The 20,233-nt window shown below is 35.6% G+C and overlaps 1 protein-coding gene across 2 annotated transcripts in view; it reads left to right on the forward strand.

Annotated features, from left to right (window-relative positions):
• The window catches only part of CLVS2 (clavesin 2), a 76,691-nt gene extending 56,734 nt beyond the window's left edge, over nt 1–19,957 (forward strand). Inside the window, exons 5-6 of one of the 2 annotated variants that reach the window (NM_001010852.4) lie at nt 2,838–3,058; nt 10,706–19,957. In NM_001010852.4, coding sequence (NP_001010852.2) covers nt 2,838–3,058; nt 10,706–10,793 — 309 coding nt within the window. In that variant the 3' untranslated portion in view covers nt 10,794–19,957. The remainder of the gene's footprint in view (nt 1–2,837; nt 3,059–10,705) is intronic. The other variant, XM_047418196.1, reaches the window with a different exon arrangement.
• Nucleotides 19,958–20,233: the final 276 nt, after the last annotated feature.

The following is a 20,233-nucleotide window of genomic DNA, read 5'->3' on the forward strand; positions in this document are numbered from 1 at the left end:
CTTAAAGAAATCACCAATGAGAAAATATAGTTAAAGAAGAGAAAAAATCCAAAGACTGAGACCAGTAGTTCTCCAGTTAAAATATTAGGAAAATCAGGCCAGGCGCAGTGGCTCGCGCCTGTAATCCCAGCACTTTGGGAGGCCAAGGCGAGTGGATCATGAGGTCAGGAGATCAAGACCATCCTGGCTAACATGGTGAAACCCCGTCTCTACTAAAATACAAAAAAATTAACGGGGCATGATGGCGCGCCTGTAGTCCCAGCTACTCGAGAGGCTGAGGCAGGAGAATCGCTTGAACCCAGGAGGCGGAGGTTGCAGTGAGCTGAGATCGCAGCACTACACTCCAGCCTGGGTGACAGAGTAAGACTCTGTCTAAAAGCAAACAAACAAACAAACAAAAAAGATATTAGGGCAATCAGCAAAAGAGACTGCCAAGAAGTATTTAGGATGGTAGAAGAAAATCAGAAATGCATGAAGAAAATGTTTCAATAAACAGAGTCATCTATTATACCCATTGCTACGGAGGGTTAAAGATATATAAGGACTGGGAATTGGATACTGAATTTAGCAATGAGAAGGACCTTGACAAAAGTTGTTTTCATTCAGTGGTAAGAGACAAAGCCAGACTGGATTCCATTTAGGAAAAATGAGGAGAGTATTTGGACTATGAATATAGACAATTCCTTGGGTGAATTTTGCTATAAAGAGAAGGAGAGAAATAGGAAAGCAACTGGAGATGGAAGTAGGGCCGAGAGAGGTTTTATGTGTCTGTGTGGGGGGCGTGGAGTCAGGATGTTCTTTCTCTGATGGGAAAGATCCAGCAGAGAGAGGAAATCTGAGGATGTGTGAGAGATAGGAGAGAACTGTTAAGAAATACAACCGAGTAGGGGAGAGAGGACGAATTCTAGTGCGCAGGTGGAGAGGTTGCCCTTTGTAGGGTTTATCTGTTCATTGTACTAGCAGTGAAGGCAAAATACATAGACACAGATGCTGGTGGGTGGGTTGATGTCATCTGGTTGTCCTATTTTCTTAGTGAAAGTGGAAGCAAGGCCAAAGCGGAAAATGATGCTGCGGAAGGAGGCAACAGAGTGTTAGAGAAGAGAGAGGAAGTAGCGTGCTAGGATTACACTGACTGCTCCAAGGATTTATTACCATGACTCTTGCATGAGTTGAAGAAGATTTCTTATGTGAATGATCCCATTTGATAAAATAAAAGTTATATATCTAATAAAATAAGGGTTGCATGTGCCATAACTTAACTTTCACAGGAAAATTATTTTCATTTCTTCTTATAAGAAGAACACAGGGGTGCACATGTGTTTTCCTGGATATAAATACTGGCTGTTGTGCCCTCAGACAGGAGAGGGAAGGTGTAAAGTTTGCAGTTAACCTGGTGTACTTTGGGGCAGATGGCCTCTTCCACCTCCTGTGGGCCTCATGTCATGTACTCCAGACAGCTGTTTGCTCTGCCTATTTTGGCCAGTGACCTGCTGTTTCTGCTTTTACTCTTCTATAATTTGTTGAAAATGCTTATTAAGTGGCAACTACCATCTTCTAATTTTATTTGATATTGTAGAGTAATCTTTCTTTGTTTCCCAATGTATTTACTTCAGTGGATTCTGAAGGTACAGAAAGCAAATATGAATGTGTTAGCTTATTCTTCTTGAACTCAAGAATGAAATTATTTTTATGACTTACTATAATTTTGAAATAAATATTATATAAATGTAGATGAGACAACAGTGTTGTAGCAGAGAAGGCCAATCTGTAGTTTTGAAACTGAAATGAAAGAAGAGCAAAGGTAGCAGTTTATGGAAAAACAAATCTTGAGTATGTGGCTTGAATATGCCTCAAGTTTTTTTTTTTTTAAAGCACTATTTAGGATGGTAGAAGAAAATCAGAAATGCATGAAGAAAATGTTTCAATAAACAGAGTCATCTATTATACCCATTGCTACTGAGGGTTAAAGATATATAAGGACTGGGAATTGGATACTGAATTTAGCAATGAGAAGGACCTTGACAAAAGTTGTTTTCATTCAGTGGTAAGAGACAAAGCCAGACTGGATTCCATTTAGGAAAAATGAGGAGAGCATTTTGTCTATAATCATAGACAAAATGATTAAGGTATGCATACAGCTTTACATTTTTAATTCATTGTTTCTTTTTCTATTTGGACAGTCAGTATGGAAATCTTTAGTAGAGAAGATACTGGCAACATTACAGAACATAATGTCCTTTGGGACATGAACTTCACTCAGCCTTTCATTATGACGATGCTAATCTACTTTGGTTATTTACATCACCCACTTTGCATTATAAAACAGTAATTTAGTGGTTACAATATTCTTATTTTTATTGATGATAAAGAGAAAGCCTTGCAAGTGACAGCTTTTTGGTGTAATAACTTGCATAGGCTCTGTAATTGATGAGTCCCTTATGAGAAGGGTCTGTTTTCACAGCATTCATTATACACATCATCAAGTTTGCACAACTAACACCAGGATGATGTACAGATCAGCATGTACGTATTATTCTGCCCATGTCCCTGCCTATGAAGAAGGAAACCAAATTTGTGGTTGCAGCTCTTTTACCCAATAACTCTCTGACCTTCCAGAAATTACTTAAAGTGTCTGAGCCTCAGGATTTTGGTATGATATATTAGGATAACAGTACCAGCTCTGCCTGTTTTACAGAGTAGATGACTGGCTAAAGTACTTTAACAGACATGCGAAACTCATATTTGCTATTGCTATCCTCACATCCCCCCTGTAGGATTTAGATGGTATTTAGTTTCCTCTGTGTCTTTCCCTTCCTCCCGTCTTCTTGCATTTATAGATATTTTTGCATGGTAACAACCTGAACAGTCTACACCAACTAATTCATCCTGAGATCCTGCCCTCTGAGTTTGGAGGAATGCTGCCTCCTTATGACATGGGGACATGGGCAAGAACACTGCTAGACCATGAATATGACGATGACAGCGAGTACAATGTAGACTCCTACAGCATGCCTGTGAAGGAAGTAGAGAAGGAACTCTCCCCAAAGTCCATGAAGAGGTATGCTGGAGGTAGACTGGGGAGTGGGCTGGGCCAGGGCAGGGAGAGGCATCCTGAGTCAAACTCAAAGCTTTCTGTTTTTCTGTATACATTTTTCTGGTGGGATTTTAAAACTCTTTATGCCCTATGATTGTATGTCTAAGAGTTTTGAGTCAAAGATAAAGTCATTTTCTTATAGTGAGAACATTTAAAATTTATTCTCTTAGCGGTTTTCAAATATACAATACATTATTATCATATATTTGAAAACTGTAGTAACCCTGATGTATGATAGATCTCCCAAACTTATTCTTCCTGTCTAATTGAAACTTTGTACTTTTTGATGAATATCTCCCTATCCACCCCCCCAAACCATCCTGCCTCATCCCAGTGCTTGGTAACCACCATTCTACTATCTATTTCTATGAGTTCGACTTTTTTTAGATTCCACATATAAGTGAAATCATGCAGTATTTTTCCATCACATTGTATTCCATAACTATATGCAATTATCTGTCAATTAAGGAAAAGATAAAGTAATTTGAGGTAACCTCAACTTAGTGTTGTTCCAAATTCACAGACAGTCTAGCAGGGCCCTTGGAAGTCACCAAATCTGGTGGTTTTCAAATTGTATCCTGAGAAACCAAAGGTTTTGAGGGGGTGCCTTAGGCCAAGTAGGTGGAGTAGAGAGAGTGCCCATTTCCACTGTTGTGGGAGCAACTCTCCTATAAGCAATTTATTGGATTTCTGTGTAAGATTTCTTTTGAAGAAAGCAACCACACACACCAGTTCAAACACTGTGTTCAAAGTTTCTGGTCCTTTTTCAATATCTCTGCCAAGTCTTTGTCTAAAGGTCTAAACATTACTGGTACAAAACATTGTATTTCACTTCAGTTTTAATCTTTATAGAGTTCATTGTTGAGTCAGAGTCCAAATACCTGCTTTGACTCTCACAGCACTTTTATGCCTTTTATCTTTCAATCAATAGTCTGGGGAGTTGTCAGACATTGCACAAATGCATACCTGGCTCTGAGTTTGCATTCTGTCACAAACAAGTAGATGTGTAATTCTCAGACTTCCCAGGCAACCACAGCTCAGGGTCCATTTGGATAACAGTAACAAATATTACTTCTCCAGTTCATTTCACATTCACAGAAGTATGGGCACCGTAGCCCCTGCAAGTCTCCCCTCACCTAGCTCAGGGAGGATACAAGGACAATGAACGGGTCATGCCAATGTCTGGCATCCTTCTCTGATGAAAGCCTTAAGGCCCTTTGCCCATAGCTCTGACTCATGGAGTAATGTGCCTGTTCTTTAAGGATGGTCTTCTTTTTTTTTTTTTTTTTTTTTTTTTTTTTTTGAGATGAGTCTAGCTCTGTCTCCCAGGCTAGAGTGCAATGGCGCGATCATGATTCACTGCAACCTCCACCTCCCTAGTTCAAGGGATTCTCCTGCCTCAGCCTCTGGAGTAGCTGGGATTACAGGCTCCCAACACTGCACCCAGCTAATTTTTGTACTTTTAGTGGGACAGGGTTTCACCATCTTGTCCAGGCTAGTGTCAAACTCCTGACCTCATGATCCACCTGCCTCGGCCTCCAAAATACTGGGATTACAGGAGTGAGCCATTGCGCCTGGCCAGGATGGTCTCTTTTATGCTGCTGCCTCTGTTGTGATTGTTGTTAGTATGTGTGTGCATTGATTTCCTCTCTCCAGGCTGCTGCACAACTCCTTGGAGAGAACGGAAAGGCCAGAAATTTTCCCTGCTCTAATTTTCCACTAGTTAGCAAGCTTATATTTAAACCAACTTTAGGCTTCTTAACTCCCTTCTTTTAGAACAGAACTTCTCAAGATCTCTGCTCTCCTAAGGGGTTCATGGATGGGCTCTCAAAGGATTCTGTTAAGTGCTAAAAGTTGTATGCAAAATTTTGTGTGCGTAAGTATGAATGTACTATATGTATATGTCATGCATATATTTTCTGGGGAGAAGTCATATATTTCATCAAATTATTTGAAAGTTTTTAAAAACAAAAGTGGTTAAAAGCAACTCCCCCTAAAATAGTTTTCTTCTAATAAAATAATCCTAATGATAACAGTTGTTATAATCTATCATTTACTAGGTACTTTTCATGAAGTAGGTGTCTTTTTTTTACATTAATTTATAAATCCTCACAACAACCGTGTTAAACAGATACTGCATCCTCAACGTTAGGTAGTCTATATATAGTGGAGCAGAGGGCTCCACTGCATGAGATGTGGAGTCTTTCACACCACTGACATAAAGCCTGCCTACCCTTCGTGGCACAGAGGCCCTTTCTCAGAACTGAACTACATAAGGATTTGGAGGCAGCTGTCATCGGTGTCCACTAGTGTTCTTCTTTGTCAGCTAATGAGGCCCTTTTTCTTCAGCCATTCTGCCTGAGGCATGATTCCTCATGTGGCCCATCACGTGAGCACATTTTTCTCTGTATCTTCTACACATCACCTGCACTCTGCTCAGCTGCACCCACCCCCTAAAAATTATTTAACTGTTCTTGTTGATTCCAGCCTTACCTGCTCCCCTACTCCCAATTTATTATCCACATGGCAATCCAAAAATCTTTTTAAAATATGAATCAGACCATGTCACATCTTGGCTTTATTTTTATTTTTATTTTTGTTTTTTTGAGGCAGGTTCTCTTTGTGTTGCCCAGGCTGGAGCGCAGTGGCGTGATCATGGCTCACTGCAGCCTCCAACTCCCTGGACTCAAGCAATGCTACCACCTCAGCTCCACAAGTAACTGGGACTACAAGTGCCTGTCACCATGACTAGTTAATTTTTTATTTTTATTTTTTTGTAGAGACCAGGTCTCACTATGTTGCCCAGACTGGTCTCAAACTCCTGGCCTCAAGTGATCCACCTGCCTCAGCCTCTCAAAGCACTGGGATTACAGGTGTGAGCCACCAGGCAGGCCTTAGCTTTATATTTTTAATGACTGCTATTTATACAATGAATACAATCACCTCCTTATCATGGCTTACAAGATGCTACCTGATCTGACCCTGCCTCCCTCTCTCCTCCAGGTGTATCCTGTCTGCTTCCTCTTCCCCTGCTTTTCAGACACATTAGTCTTCTCTTTTTGCCCTTGTCACCGCCACCTGGAATGTTCTTTTCCTTCATCTTCAAATGGGTGGTCCCAATCAAAGGTCAGCTCCTCGAAAGAGTCTTTTGATCTTTGTCACCCACCTGGTCTTAGTCAGTTCTGTTTCCTCTTCATTCTGGTCACTCCCTGTCCATCACCCTTCTTTATTTTATTCTCTTCATAACACTTTTAGCCTTTGAAATTGCTGATTTTGTTTAATTTTATATCTGCACCCCACCCCAAAGTAAGCTTCAAGGAGACCATATTGTCTATGTTTACCTTATTCTCTGAATCCCCAGTGCCTGGAGAAGGTCCTGGAAAAACAGAGGGTGCTCAGGAAATACCAGTTGAATGCATGGAGGAGTGCTCTGCTGCCCATCAGTGGCCCCCTTTAAGTGCAGTATTCATAACTGAATAGGGAACATCTAACCTGGTATTGGCACTTGCATTTAAGTTGCAGAGTTCTGGCTTTGCAGGATAGACCTCACTGGCTTCTTTGGGTTGCTGTTGTTGTCACTGTTGCTATTGTTCAAGCAGCCAAAACTGACTGGTATGGGGGTTCCTAAAACTGGAAAGTCTCTTTACTTACCAATCCATATCCTCCTATTGTTTAGGTTTGTCCTCCAATCACATTATTTTAATTGATTAAGGCCCATCTTGTTAGATATAGCCTAGTCTATCCACCTTTTGTATCCTGATTCTTTTCTCCAATTAAATAGACCATTTTCTCCCCTACACACTTTGCTTGTAGCCCATTAGTGGCCCCAGTCCTGAGTTTCCTGCTGGTGTCATGGGCTGATTAGAGTTTTAGGCATTGTTTGGTGTACGTTTGGTATCATATGAAACATTTATGATTCTATGGAAAACTGAAAAATGAGATTAAGAAAGGTGTTGCACTTGATTCTCATGTTCTCTATGTCAGGGAATGGCAGTTCGCCATCCAGGACAAGAGAAGATTGCTCCTATGTTCCACACTGATTCCCCTTGGCCCTTTTCTTTTTGTAGTTTTATGATATCTTTAGATTAAGAGGGAGAAAATAATTCCATCACTAAAGAGTTGTGGATAATTCTTCTTTTGGGTAAATGTAGCTAGACATGCAAAAAGATGACTTGTCTTTTTGTATTAATTTCTGGAGGAGAAGCATAGTCATGTGTAAATATGCAAAGTTCACTAGACTAAGTATTTTAGAACTGGAGAGTGTCTTTTACCTTATGCCGCCAATGCCTAAGATAGTGCCTGGCACATAACAGTAGTGAGTAAAGTAACCATACCTATTTCATGATACGCACTTCTGATTATTGAATATTGAATATATTATTATTGAATAAGGTTAAGCATTTATTATTGCTTTGTGCCAAACCCTGTTCCAATGCTCTATGTATGTTGATTCATTTGCTTCTTGAAGCAAGTAATAAAGTAGTAGTATCCCCATTTTATTGATAGAGAGACTGAGAAACAGGAAAGGTAAGTGACTTCCACATGTTGCATAACTACAAAGTAGCAATGCTAATATCTGTACATAGGCAATAGTATTCCATGAGCCATTTCATTAACCATATGCCAGAATTTGTGCCGGGGTTTATGGATGCATTGTTGCATCTGATACTCATTATAACTTTATGATGTGGGTATTATTTTTCCCATCTTAAACAATAAAGAACAAAATCTTAGGAAGTTTAGTCTTCCCATGATCACACAGCTAGTAAACTGCTGTTATTAGCAACTGGAGTTATGATCTACTTCTGTCCGAAATCTAGTTTCTTAAACACTATGTATTGTAGATGCATGAGAAATGAGTATTGGATATCTAAATCTAAATTACTAGTTTTCAAGAAAGAAAGAAAAGTTATTCATTGTGAAAACAATAGAAGCTGCATAGAAACCCCTGAGATGGGCTGGGCACAGTGGCCCATGCCTGTAATCCCAGCACTTTGGGAGGCCAAAGCGGGTGGATCACTTGAGGTCAGGAGTTTGAGACCAGCCTGGTCAACATGGTGAAACCTCATTTCTACTAAACATACAAAAATTAGCCAGGCATGGTGGTGCACGCTTGTAATCCTGGCTACTTGGGGGAGGTGGGAGCATCAGTTGAACCCGGGAGGCGGAGGTTGCGGTGAGCCGAGATGGTGCCACTGCACTCCAGCCTGGGTGACACAGTGAGTCTTTGCCTCAAACAAAACAAAACCGAAAAAAAAAAACCCAGAAACCTCTGAGATGTATGAGTTAATGATAGCTCCCTCTGCTGTGGCTAGAATAAATCAATTCATTAATACTTCTGATCCTGCACAAATAATCCTGTTCTGTCATAAAAGAGACTAAAAAAAAATTGGACTAAAATAACTATACACTTGGGACAACTAAATACCAAAAAGAAAAAGAATTAATCACAAATTGTTTCTGACTCACTTTTGTTCTGTGATTGAGGCATTGTTTCACATATGGAATCAGCATTCATCATCCAACAATCCTCATATCTGTAGTGCATACTAAAAGCAAACTAGAAACTTAATCCCAGCTTGAATAATACACTGTAATTTAAAATATTTTGTTAAAAATGTCATATTCTCTAATATTGTTTTCAAAAACAGTCAGGAAACACACAGACTTAGAATGTGTATATGTGAGCATGTCTGTATAATGTGTAATAGTATATTAGGGCAAATGCTTAACTATTGTGCCTTGTGCAGTCTGAAGAGCTTTGGTATGTACTTATGGAATATTATTAGGATATACCTCAATATTTATATATTTAATTTTATGAAAAATTTAAAATTTATTTTCTATAAAGAAAACAGAATTGCTTTCTTTATTATCCTCATTACTCTTCATTTTGAGTTCTTAATACTGAAGTTCTTTCAATTTGGAAATTATTTACTGGCTAGAAGTCAAGACATGAAGAACTTACTCTTTTCCAAGCCCTATGATGCATGTTGTATTCACAATAAGGAAAGAAACTGATAAAGTCCCTGCTTATGGAACTTGCAGTCTAGTGCATATCAGTTGTCAGGTTAATACTTTAGCACAGGACATTAAATGAGCCTCTTTCTCTTTGAACATGAATTCATCTGAGAGCCAATTTGCTTGGTTGGGTCTTACCTAAAAACAAAGTTAGAAGTCTAATTACTTAGTCTTTTGTGCAATTGTCTCCTTTGTTAAAAAGTATTTTATTCATGTACTTTAAATAAAGATGATTATGTATTATTGCATTTAAAAGTGACACAAAATCTCTATTCTCTCTACTCTTTCTCCTTATTGTCCTTTTCCTCATCCTATTCTTATATTCATATCTTATCCTATTATTATCTTATATCCTCATCTATTCTGTCTTACGCTCACACACACAACTTTAGCAAGTCTTTTTTTTCCATGATAGGCATCTAATGCCTATTTAATATTGAGATAAAATAGTGTAAATGACACTTAGGAAACAAAATCTCTCAATTTTTTAATGCTTTCACCTTCATTTTCATTCCCTCTTTAGGAAATAATTTAAGTTTATTTAAATTTAATCAGTTTATCAGTTAATCCTGTAATTATTTTTTCTTTGATAATTAGTTCCGTTGCTGTTCTTTTTCATTTGCATGTGCAGTTGTGTTTTAGCTTATAGTCTTTTCAGAAGTTAATGAGGTCTGCTAAGAGGCATATTGCCACAGCAAAAGCCAATTGGCTGGAATGCAGCAGCAGGGGAAGAATTCATTACCAAGGAGAATTCTAAAAGGGCAGCTGCTTACTAAATGCTACAGCTATTAAGATGGCAGCTTCCTGCCATGACAGAGCATGTTTCATTGATTTTCCTCTTTCCCATTCTCATATTGTTTCCTAATGACAAATTGAGACAGAAGCCCCACCTGCTATCAAAGGCATGTATAAGTGGGTTTTCAAATTATGTGCTTTCCTAATCATAAACTGTTGCTGCCTAAACAAGAGGGGGTTTTACTTTTTAAAAATCTATAACTGTTCCATGAAATTCTCAAGATGAAGGTTGATTTTATTTGGATATTCTACTAGGACATTTAACAGAAACATACAAATTTTGATCTTTTGGTTGATACAATCATTAAAGTTAAAAAATGACGGTCAAAAAAGGTGCATTCTTGTTGCTTTTTTTTCATATGTTTTTTAAAGACTGGAATTAAGCCTCCTGTTATTTCTATTTAGTTTATCATAATAATCATTTCACTGTAATTTTTTTCCATTTGGAGATGTTTTATTGGAAAACATCTATCCTACACTAGAAATTTGTGATATCTCAAAGAAAAGAATCTTCCCTAACTGTGAAGAGCTCTTAAGCCTGGTATTGTCTATTTAGAATCATTGGCGGCTCACTATTCTATTTAGAGGCCAGAGGGGATTTTTTTCCTCACTCCAGTGCAAAACATCACCAGCAGTGGTTTTTCTCTAAATGTGCAACATCCACAATTCATAAATTTCTTGATATAGAGGAAGGGAATTCACATTCCTGGGAGAAGTAATGACAAAAAGAGGAGAGAATGTCATCTGCACAATTACCTGGTAATAACTCACTGACGTTGGCTTTATCCTTTCCAGATCTCAATCAGTAGTGGATCCTACAGTACTAAAACGCATGGATAAAAATGAGGAAGAAAACATGCAACCATTGCTTTCTCTGGACTAATAACTTCTCTACATCCCCTTCATGGATTAGAAATGGAAAGTATTGGTTTTCAGCAACAGGGACAACACTGTAGAGGAATTACCAGCTGGAAACCGACTTATTCATGTTAATGTAGCATAATATATAACAAGGCATCAGGCTTTCCTTGGCCTGAACCATGGGGGCCCTGGGCTGGATTTTTAAAATGTCAATAATTTATTCTGTAAGTGCCAAGTTGTTTGTAAATATAATGTAATCTTCATGTCAAGTTTGTAAATTTCAGTAGTAACTCAGTTTGGAAAAAGGTTGGCTCAAAAGTCCATGCCAGTGTTATGAACTATAACAAAAAGCAGAAAAGACACAGTCAAAGCTAATTAAATGTAGCCCTCTTTCCTATGAAGCCATATTTCAGCTCTCATAGTGATTGTTTCATTGTTTTTCTCTGAAACTCTGTCAGTATTCAAACATACTCTTAACGGGCACACACAACTAAGTGATTCCAGGAAATTTTATGATTAATGTATTTCCTGTCTAGTGATTTTCATTTCAGAGAAATGTGTCTTAGTAACTATCATTGGCCTTGCATTTTGGAGGCAAGGAATGGCAGATGAGCTGGTAAACTGAACACTTGAACTCTTCTATGTTGTTTAATTCTTGGAATCTTGTGAAAAGATGTGTTTCCTCAATTAAGACGTAGAAATGTAAAAAAGAGTGGATTCTTTTTAAATTGCTGTCTTCACAATGTGCCCTTTATTCAAGACCCTATTATATTTCTTCCTAATGTACTCTAAGTACATTTCCCCTCCAAAACTCTTTGACTAAGAGAATGAGAACTCATGTGAACAGTGTTCTGACAGCTAATTTTGAACATAAAATTTTCCACTTACAGATGAGGGGCTAATTTCTAATTGTTGTGCACTGGTTAAAAAGTATATATATATATATATTCACACATATATATTTTTACTGAGCTCTAATAAATCCTTAATGTGACAGGCTTATAAAATAAATCATAGATATTCAATGATCTTATGGATAATTACATGAGATAACTCTGGAAAACTACTTCCACTGAAGTTAATGAAAAGGAGAAATAGTGAAACTGACTTTCAGTGTACCTATTTAAAGGAATTCCAAGTTAATTTATAATGCAATCTTACATATGTGCCATCTTATTTGAACTATATTTTTCCTTCAAAGAAGCAATAGGTCTCAACATAGTGTAGGTAGCATCAGGTGACAGAAAGCCAATTTTATTTTCAAATTTAAGTTAATTATCTTCGTGATCCTATTTATCCACAATTTCTTTCAGAAAAGACTGAAAAAACACATTATATTCAGGAGATATAATGAAATTATTGGAAGGCATCTATGACAACATGTAATCATTTATACGTGGATTTAGAAATTTGCATATTTAACATTTTATTTCATAAAATTTATACAATTACAGCAAATCTTAATTTTTTAATTTTAAATTTCAATGTGAAAAAATGATTTTTATCACCCATAATAAATTTTGAGATTGAGAGTTTACCATTAAAGTATTCTTTTGGAAGAAAAATATCTCAGAAACTCTTGGAAACCAACAAAAATAAAGGCATGTGTCAGCCTTCATATTTTTTGGCCAAAAGCTCCCAAAATTTGTTATAATTCTGCAGCCAAAAATTGTAAAAGCAAGCTGAATACACCAATGTACAGTGTATCAATGGACTGCCTCATGTGTGTAAAAATACATTAATTAACACAAATGAAAGATACCTTAATAATGCCAACCTCCAGTCAAGTGCAGAAGAATAATGACTGTCAGGCACTCTGCTCTCCTTGTGACTTTTACAGAGATTGGAATGCACTGGGGACAACATGTCTCAGCAGTTCTTACCTTTATAAGAATTCTAACCATTGATATTCTTACATTCTTGCCTACCTGACATACATTTTGTAGCCATGGGCTTTTTAGACTATATAAATCTTAGGCAGTATAATCCATTGGAATAAAATAGAAACATTGTAAGTGCAGAGGGCAGTCAACTTTTCATTCTCATGAGTTTCTCTTGATGTGTACCATTTATTGCCAGTTTTCAGAATTCTGCCAGTTTCAGATGTCAACCAGCATTGGCAGCTTCTTTCCCCTATCGTAAAGTTAGTGTCATATATAAAAATAACTAGAAAGGCATATTTTATATGTATGCCTATCTAATTATAAGTATCATTCACACTGTCTCCCAGACCCACATTTGGAAAGTTTGCATTGCATTACTGCTCATCTTTAGATGAGCAATTGAGAGTTGGCTAGATTGTGTAAAATATTTTAAAATGAATGAACAAATTACAATGATGATGCCTTTTGAAATTACCATATCTAGTTCATTCTGTGAATAAACTCATTTTCTAGTAATGTTTGTGAACCTTAGTCAAGGGATATTCATTCAACTTTATAAATTTACCCCTCAGCACCAGCTATCTAGCACTGTTTAGGAATTTTTCCCTTCATGATATTCTGTGTCACATCCTATGTCTATGAATAACCTATACACTATAGTTGTATGCCTATAAGCACTCCTATACTCTTGTATTTTAATTGCAATAGTATACCTCCACTCTCTCTCTCTCTCTCATACACACACACACACACACTCTTACACACACACTAACACACTAGACTGTTTGCCCTAATGAATTTTCCTCTGTACTTCGAGAGCTATTTTAGTTGTCTTGTCACTTGAAATTTGCGGGCTTCAAAGAATTATCGCATTTGACTTGGAATGGTCCAGTAGTCCATTTACTTCTTTCACCCTGCCTGTTCCATCTTCTATTTCTGATATTTTTTCTTTCTTCCAGTTATTTCAGGGGCAGGTGATTCCAAAGCTGGTTTAAAAATAAATAACTTCTCTTATGTTGTCAGTGATGTTTGCCTGCATTTTTGACTACTATTTAAGAGGGAAGAGATTATCATGAAAATATACTCTAAGAAATATGAAGAAGTGCCTCTTTGAAAATGGAATAAAGCAACGTTACTGGCATATGGATTTTATTTGTACTCTCTTCCAAAAAGTAAATACGTAAATCTATATTATATAGGTGAAATATAGATATCATTTGAAGAAGGATATTTAAGGCCTTTATTTGAACATACTCATACAGTATTAAGTCTCTGTTGTGTAAGTTAAATACAGTAACTTTAGTACATGTTAATGATAAACGTGGCACTAGGCTAAAACGATATACGAGTATTAAACAGAGTTTTGCAAGCAAGTTTTTGAAGTGGGCATGCATGAATTCTTTCATTTCAGTAATGGTTTGCATAAGTGTAGACAGAGATATTTCCTAAGTTTTTTCATATAGAATACTTATTTACTTTATAGTACCAAAAATTCATACATTCATAAGCAGGAAAGCCAAAAATTCATACATTAATACTTAGCTTTTTTAATACTGTTAACTAGGTCATATTGTTAAACATGTGAAGCGTCTGTAATATTCCTGAGGGAAAAGAGGTCCCTCTATTGCATCAAGAAATTGGAGAGTTGTTTTAGACATTGGGGAATATGTTTATGACTCTTCACATAAAGAAACCTTCAGAGCCATGGAGTATGTCTTCAGGGACAGGGATCATTTGCTTCTACAATGTAAAGGTTTATGGACATATCTCTGGTCCTTTAAAGAAGTTACATTAAGAAAGCTTGCTGAGAGGCTGTACACTCTTCTGTTGTTTTATTTAAAGGTCTGCCTTGTGTGGTTGGTGAATAATATCTCAGCTTCTTTTTTTGTGTATATTTATTAATGATTACATGAAAAGTTGCCATCAGCCATGAGGACACTTCAAAAATTTTCAACACACTAAATAAAATGAGCAGAGCTCTAGCATGATATTTGAACTTTCAGATATGGTATATGTACATTTTTTACAACAATAAGCTCATAGGCATATATTCCATTGTAGATCTGCTATATAAATACATAGCCTGAAACATAGTAATGCATTTGAAATTTGTGAGGTCACTGATCATACAAGAAGAGGCAGATTATAAACCAACATATTGGAACAAAAGAAGATTGGTTAAATATGCAAGGTGTGTAATTATCTTCAGTAATGAAAAGGATTTGTTTTCTTGTTTTTGTCTTTGGTTTTAGTTGAAAAAATAGCTTCCCATATGCTACTGGAACTATTTGACATTATTTGCTACATGAAAAAAGGCAAATAAGTAAACATACAAAAGAAGCTTGGCTTTGTAACATTATTATATTATGATCTCAATGGCTTAGAGAATATAATCTTTTTTAAGAATTAAAGATTTTATTTTATAAATATTTGGAGGTTAACATAGGACATGAAAATAGTGCTGTGGATTCTGTTATGTACTAACTATGGGAATGAATTCTCCAGTACCATAGGAAAATATATAAGATAACAACTTTGTGGATTGAAACACTCAAATTAGCCTTTTTTTCAAGGAAGCAGGTGTACAAATGATGCTATTGAAATAAAAAAATGTAGAAATCACTTAATTATAGGAGTTAAATATAATCAATGCACTCATGGTAAATAATGGAAATTGTTAAAATTTAGAAGAGTTTTGTCATTATTTGACTTAGATTTAAGTCTCAGTGCAAATATGTCTGTCCTTGATATAGTGCATTTATTCTGTAAGACTTATTTTACCTGGTGAACGAGATGGACTTAGGTGAAAATAAATTTTAACCACAGTTTTAAGGGTCACCCAATCCTCAACTACTTTAAAAAATTGCAATGAATTTTAATTCATTTACTTTTAACAGAGATACAAAGCACTGTCTTGTTTCTAATCCAATTTTTCAATTTTTCAGATTTTATATTTGCTTAAACAATAAATAAAACTCAGAAAACCAAATAGTTTTTGTTTTCAAAGCTATCCAGGAAAAATAAAAGATGTCTAACAGGAAATCATACAAGTCCTTGAAGAATACTGAGTATATTATTTGCTATTTTACTCAAATGTTATTAATTTTTACTACTACAAACTACTTATTTAGTACTACACGGCATTTACTATTTGGCCTTTTGAAGGAGTTATAAATTCCAAAACACTATAATATAATTTTTGGACAAGTATACATTTCTGTTTAAAAGAAATGTATGCTTTTATTTTGTATATTTTATATTTTAAATGTATACATTTATTTTGCACATTGTTAATGTTAAATTTGGTAGTCCTGGATCTGCTGCATCTATAAAATGGAGATTTCTTTAAAAAATCGTCTAAAAATTAGCAATATTTTTATTTTGAGAGAAATTGTGCTTAGCTATTTAAGTTAAGATTCCTCAAGTTTGTGATATTTGTATGTGTGGGGATCAAAGAGGAAAATATATAGTAATTTGTTTCATCAAAATGACGTATTCAATATTCTATAACTTCTAGTCAAACTTTCAAATGAAAGTTTGAAAGAAGTAAACTAATGTTTTAATTACATATAGCAAAGGAATGATCAGTAAATAAAATAACTAGGGTTTTCACATTTGCAATAGAATGACTGGATTAGGCAAGAGATTAAATTTAGAAATTTGAATTACAGAAAAGCATTGGTTTAAATAAATCCTCAAAAAAGTAATCCCAGGTCAAAATATGATGTGAAATTAAAAAAAAAATTCAGCCTGATTTGAGAAAGAATGCTTACTCAATAAATATGTATTTGTGTCTTCTGTGAGTTTCCCTCATTTATCCTATCTGTGGATGAAAAGTCATCTAATAAGGTATAAGAGACTCAATTACATTTACCTAGAACCATCTACAAGTAGACTTCATGAATTTCTTTGGCTCAAACTCAGAGGATTTTCTTTACACAGGATTCTTGAGGTTATCAAGAATCGTTATTGCTGCTCCCTCCTAAAGGCAGGCCAGGAGAAGCCACATTTCCAGCAGTAGTATCCTCAGTGGGAATGAACCAGAAAACAAAGAAAAAGCCAGAGATATTGTCTCCACTCTCGTTACAAAAAAGTGCGTTCCTTCTTCAGGAGGATCGAGTAGAAAATATTTTCTACTCGAAGAGGCCATGGGGAAGTGATGGTCAAATCTCTGTTGTGAAGCAAGTTTCCACACAGAAACATCATCAAAAACACGTACCTCTGAGCATCACTTCTTTCTCTAAAAATAAAAATAAATATGCTGTTTTCCTCCCTTTTTTCTAATTGGCATCATAAAAGTATAAGAAGCCACAAATGCATTGTTGCCACTTAAGAAAAAAATCCTATGTTATACATATATGAACATAATTCACTTAGTTGCATATGATTGAAATATTTGCATGCTGGTTTATAAATTATTACCTAAAAGTTTTATGAAATATAATTATTAAGTTTTAGTGCTAGAAAAATTGTTGTTTTTTGTGTTTTGTATTCATAGGGAAGACTAGTAATATCCCTTACTCCTCATTCATATAGCTAACAATTTTAATTGGATGGCTAATGGATATGGCGGATTTAACATTTACAAAACCAAACTACTTTCACTCTGACCCTGCTTCCCCTTTAGCCTTCTCATCTCACTATGTGTCGACCCCAATCTTCCAGTTTCTAGGAATAAAAATTTTGGAGTCATCCTCTCTTTCCTTCCTCTTTTTCTTTCAAAACTACATCACATCAGCTAGCTCATGCTGTTGGGTCTTCAAAATATATCCACACTCTAACCACTTCTCCAATCTTCTTCACTGTATTGGACCAAGTCTTCAACATTTTCCATCTGGAATATTTTAATAATCTAAAAACTAGTCTTCTTGCTTCCAGAGTCAATTTTCAACACATTAGCAAGAGTGAGTCTCTTAAAATGTAACTCAGACCATTTTGTTCTCCAAACCCTCTGAAAGAGTAAAAGCCGATGTCTTTATATCAGTGTATGAGAAGTCTTGATATGAAGGCAGTAAGCACCAGTACAGCAACATAGCATGGTTTCTGATTGGGCTGGCATTTTTGCTGGTACTATGAAAAAATAGTTGTTAAATACTTTAATTTCTTGCTTCTGAAGTTCTCTACCCCGTTCTTGCCTTTTCTTAGATAATCTCTTAAGAATCTCTCCTTTATTTACTGCTGCCAAACTGTCATCTTTGCTGTTCCAGGAACTTGCTAAGCATGCCTCTACCTCAGGACTTTCGCATTTCTGTTCCCTTTGCCTCTAATTTCAGATATCCACGTGGTTTATTCCCTCATCTTCTTCAGGTATTTGCTTAAATGTCATCTTCTTTGTGAGGACTCTCTTTCCTAATTTTAGATGAAACAGCCCTGTGGTTCTTCATATTCTCCTTTCCTGCTGTATTTCCTCTCCATAGCATTTATCACCTGATACACCATACAGATTATTTATTTACTTTGCATTTCCCCCCAATAGCAATGTGAACTCCACAAGGGCAGGAATTTTTGTCTGTTTACTACTGCATTACTGGTGCCTTGTACAGTCCCTGGAACTTAACAAATCCAAAATGATTTCATGAGGATCCTAATTTGTTTCAGCAAGTTATGTAACGGCCAATAGTATGAATTGAAAGAGTTTCTTGTTGTCTTAATTTAAAAAATTTTGTTATTTATCTTCAAAGGGGAAATTTTACCCTCTCATGATAATAGAATCATGAATCAAAAATGATATCCTCTTCTCCCCAATTGTGATCTCTATCCCTGAGCCTAAGTTTTACATCAGTATTTCAGTTTTGTCTTTAGAAGTTACTCAACGATCACTGGACCCTATATCTATCCACATGGCTTACTCTTGGAGAGACTACAAGATAGCTCAGGGGAAAAGTCATTTTGAGATTAAAACTACATGGAATTGTTCTTTATGGATTATCATGGTTAATTTCAATTTTTAAAAATATGCAGGAAGTTAAAAGACTATAATTCCAGTATTGGAAGCCAGTTTAAGAGAATATGACTATGTAGTTACTTTTAATGGAAAGGGGAAGAAGAGGAAGAAAAAGGAAAGACATTGTGTTCGTATCTTCTCTGCAACAATTATAAAATGAATGAGGAAGTATTTTGGTGTTTCTAAGGTCTTTCCATGATCTTGAAATCTATATATTATAGTCATTTAGTCTGTGAACCATTTTAACAATTGGGTTTCATGTTACATATCTTTAAATTTTTATGTTGAAAATTTATAGCTGTGACACAAGATGATAGAAATTGCTCATGCTCACATATATTCCAACTGGCTTTTCAGCTTGCTCCCTTCTCTTTTAATTTCAGCTATCATTTTTAGAGCCTTACAGTCACAATTGTTCTTAACTATCCCAAATTTTTATTTCCTATTTGGACTGACTTCTCCATAATTTTAGTAACTAAATGACCTAGATATTGGTTCTTGTTGTGATAGGTTTCTGATTTGTATCCTTTGCAGTTTAACTTTTAATCCTTACCAAACATATGTTATTCCTTTTCTTCAGCTACATTGTTGTGCCTTTCCCAACACTGTAATAATTTAAGCCTCCTGTTTTATAATCTTCTATCAGAACATATATTAAGAAGACACTGAATTTAAAGAATCAGCAGGTGATGTTGAAGAAGAAATATAACCTGAAATATAAGAATAGATGTTTGAAACTGTTTCAGAAGTTAACCAGTCTTTTAGTGGCTTTGTAATGGGTAGGGGTTTTATTCCTCTTTGTGTGCTATGTAGGACATTGTTAACCAATATAGATTATGTTTCTTGTCAGTTACACAAGGATAGGTAATCAGGGTTAACAGTTCGGAAAACATTCTCTAGAGAAGAGACTAATGATTCTTGCTCACAAACAAGGCAGAATTTCCTTATGTTTCTTAATATTTGATCCTTGATAGTCTGTACAGTGGAAACCATTTCCCTCTGTGATATCCTTTTTTGCCAACCTATATGAATGTGTTTAGCGTCACTTCAGATATAGAGTTCAAGCTCAAGTATACACAGCACATGAAAGATCCTATAGTTCATGTTCTCTTAGGTTGAATTTTCTTTTCATAATTTTTTATGATTGAATTCTAAGGGTATGTTCCTTGGTAAATTGTGTTAATTATGTCCACTTTATAATGGATTTAACAATTTTACAAAGCAGATCATTGTTTATTATATTCTGAAAACCATTATATTAATATTTTATTTCTTTTTTTGCAGAGAAACTATTGTCTTTTTTGATTTCTGAGGATGAATGAAGTACTGTTAAATAAAATGTCACTAAATGAAACTTCAGATTCAGAAATGCGTGTGTGTGTATATGCCCTTACAGTTTTTTCATCATTAACTAAATTTCTGTAAATTTAGAAAACATCATATCAAATAGCTATGAAGAAATGTGTCATATAGAGACATATGAATTTGGTGCTAGCATTTGGACACATAAAATGCTTTAAAAACTGACTTTAAACATATATGGCTATGTTGTTATATTTTGAATTTATTGTTGATTTGATCAAGTATATTTGATACATTGGTATTATCTCCAAGTCATTAGAAAGAACTTCCTGA

This window comes from Homo sapiens, chromosome 6 (genome assembly GCF_000001405.40).
Source record: "Homo sapiens chromosome 6, GRCh38.p14 Primary Assembly".
NCBI lineage: Eukaryota > Metazoa > Chordata > Mammalia > Primates > Hominidae > Homo > Homo sapiens.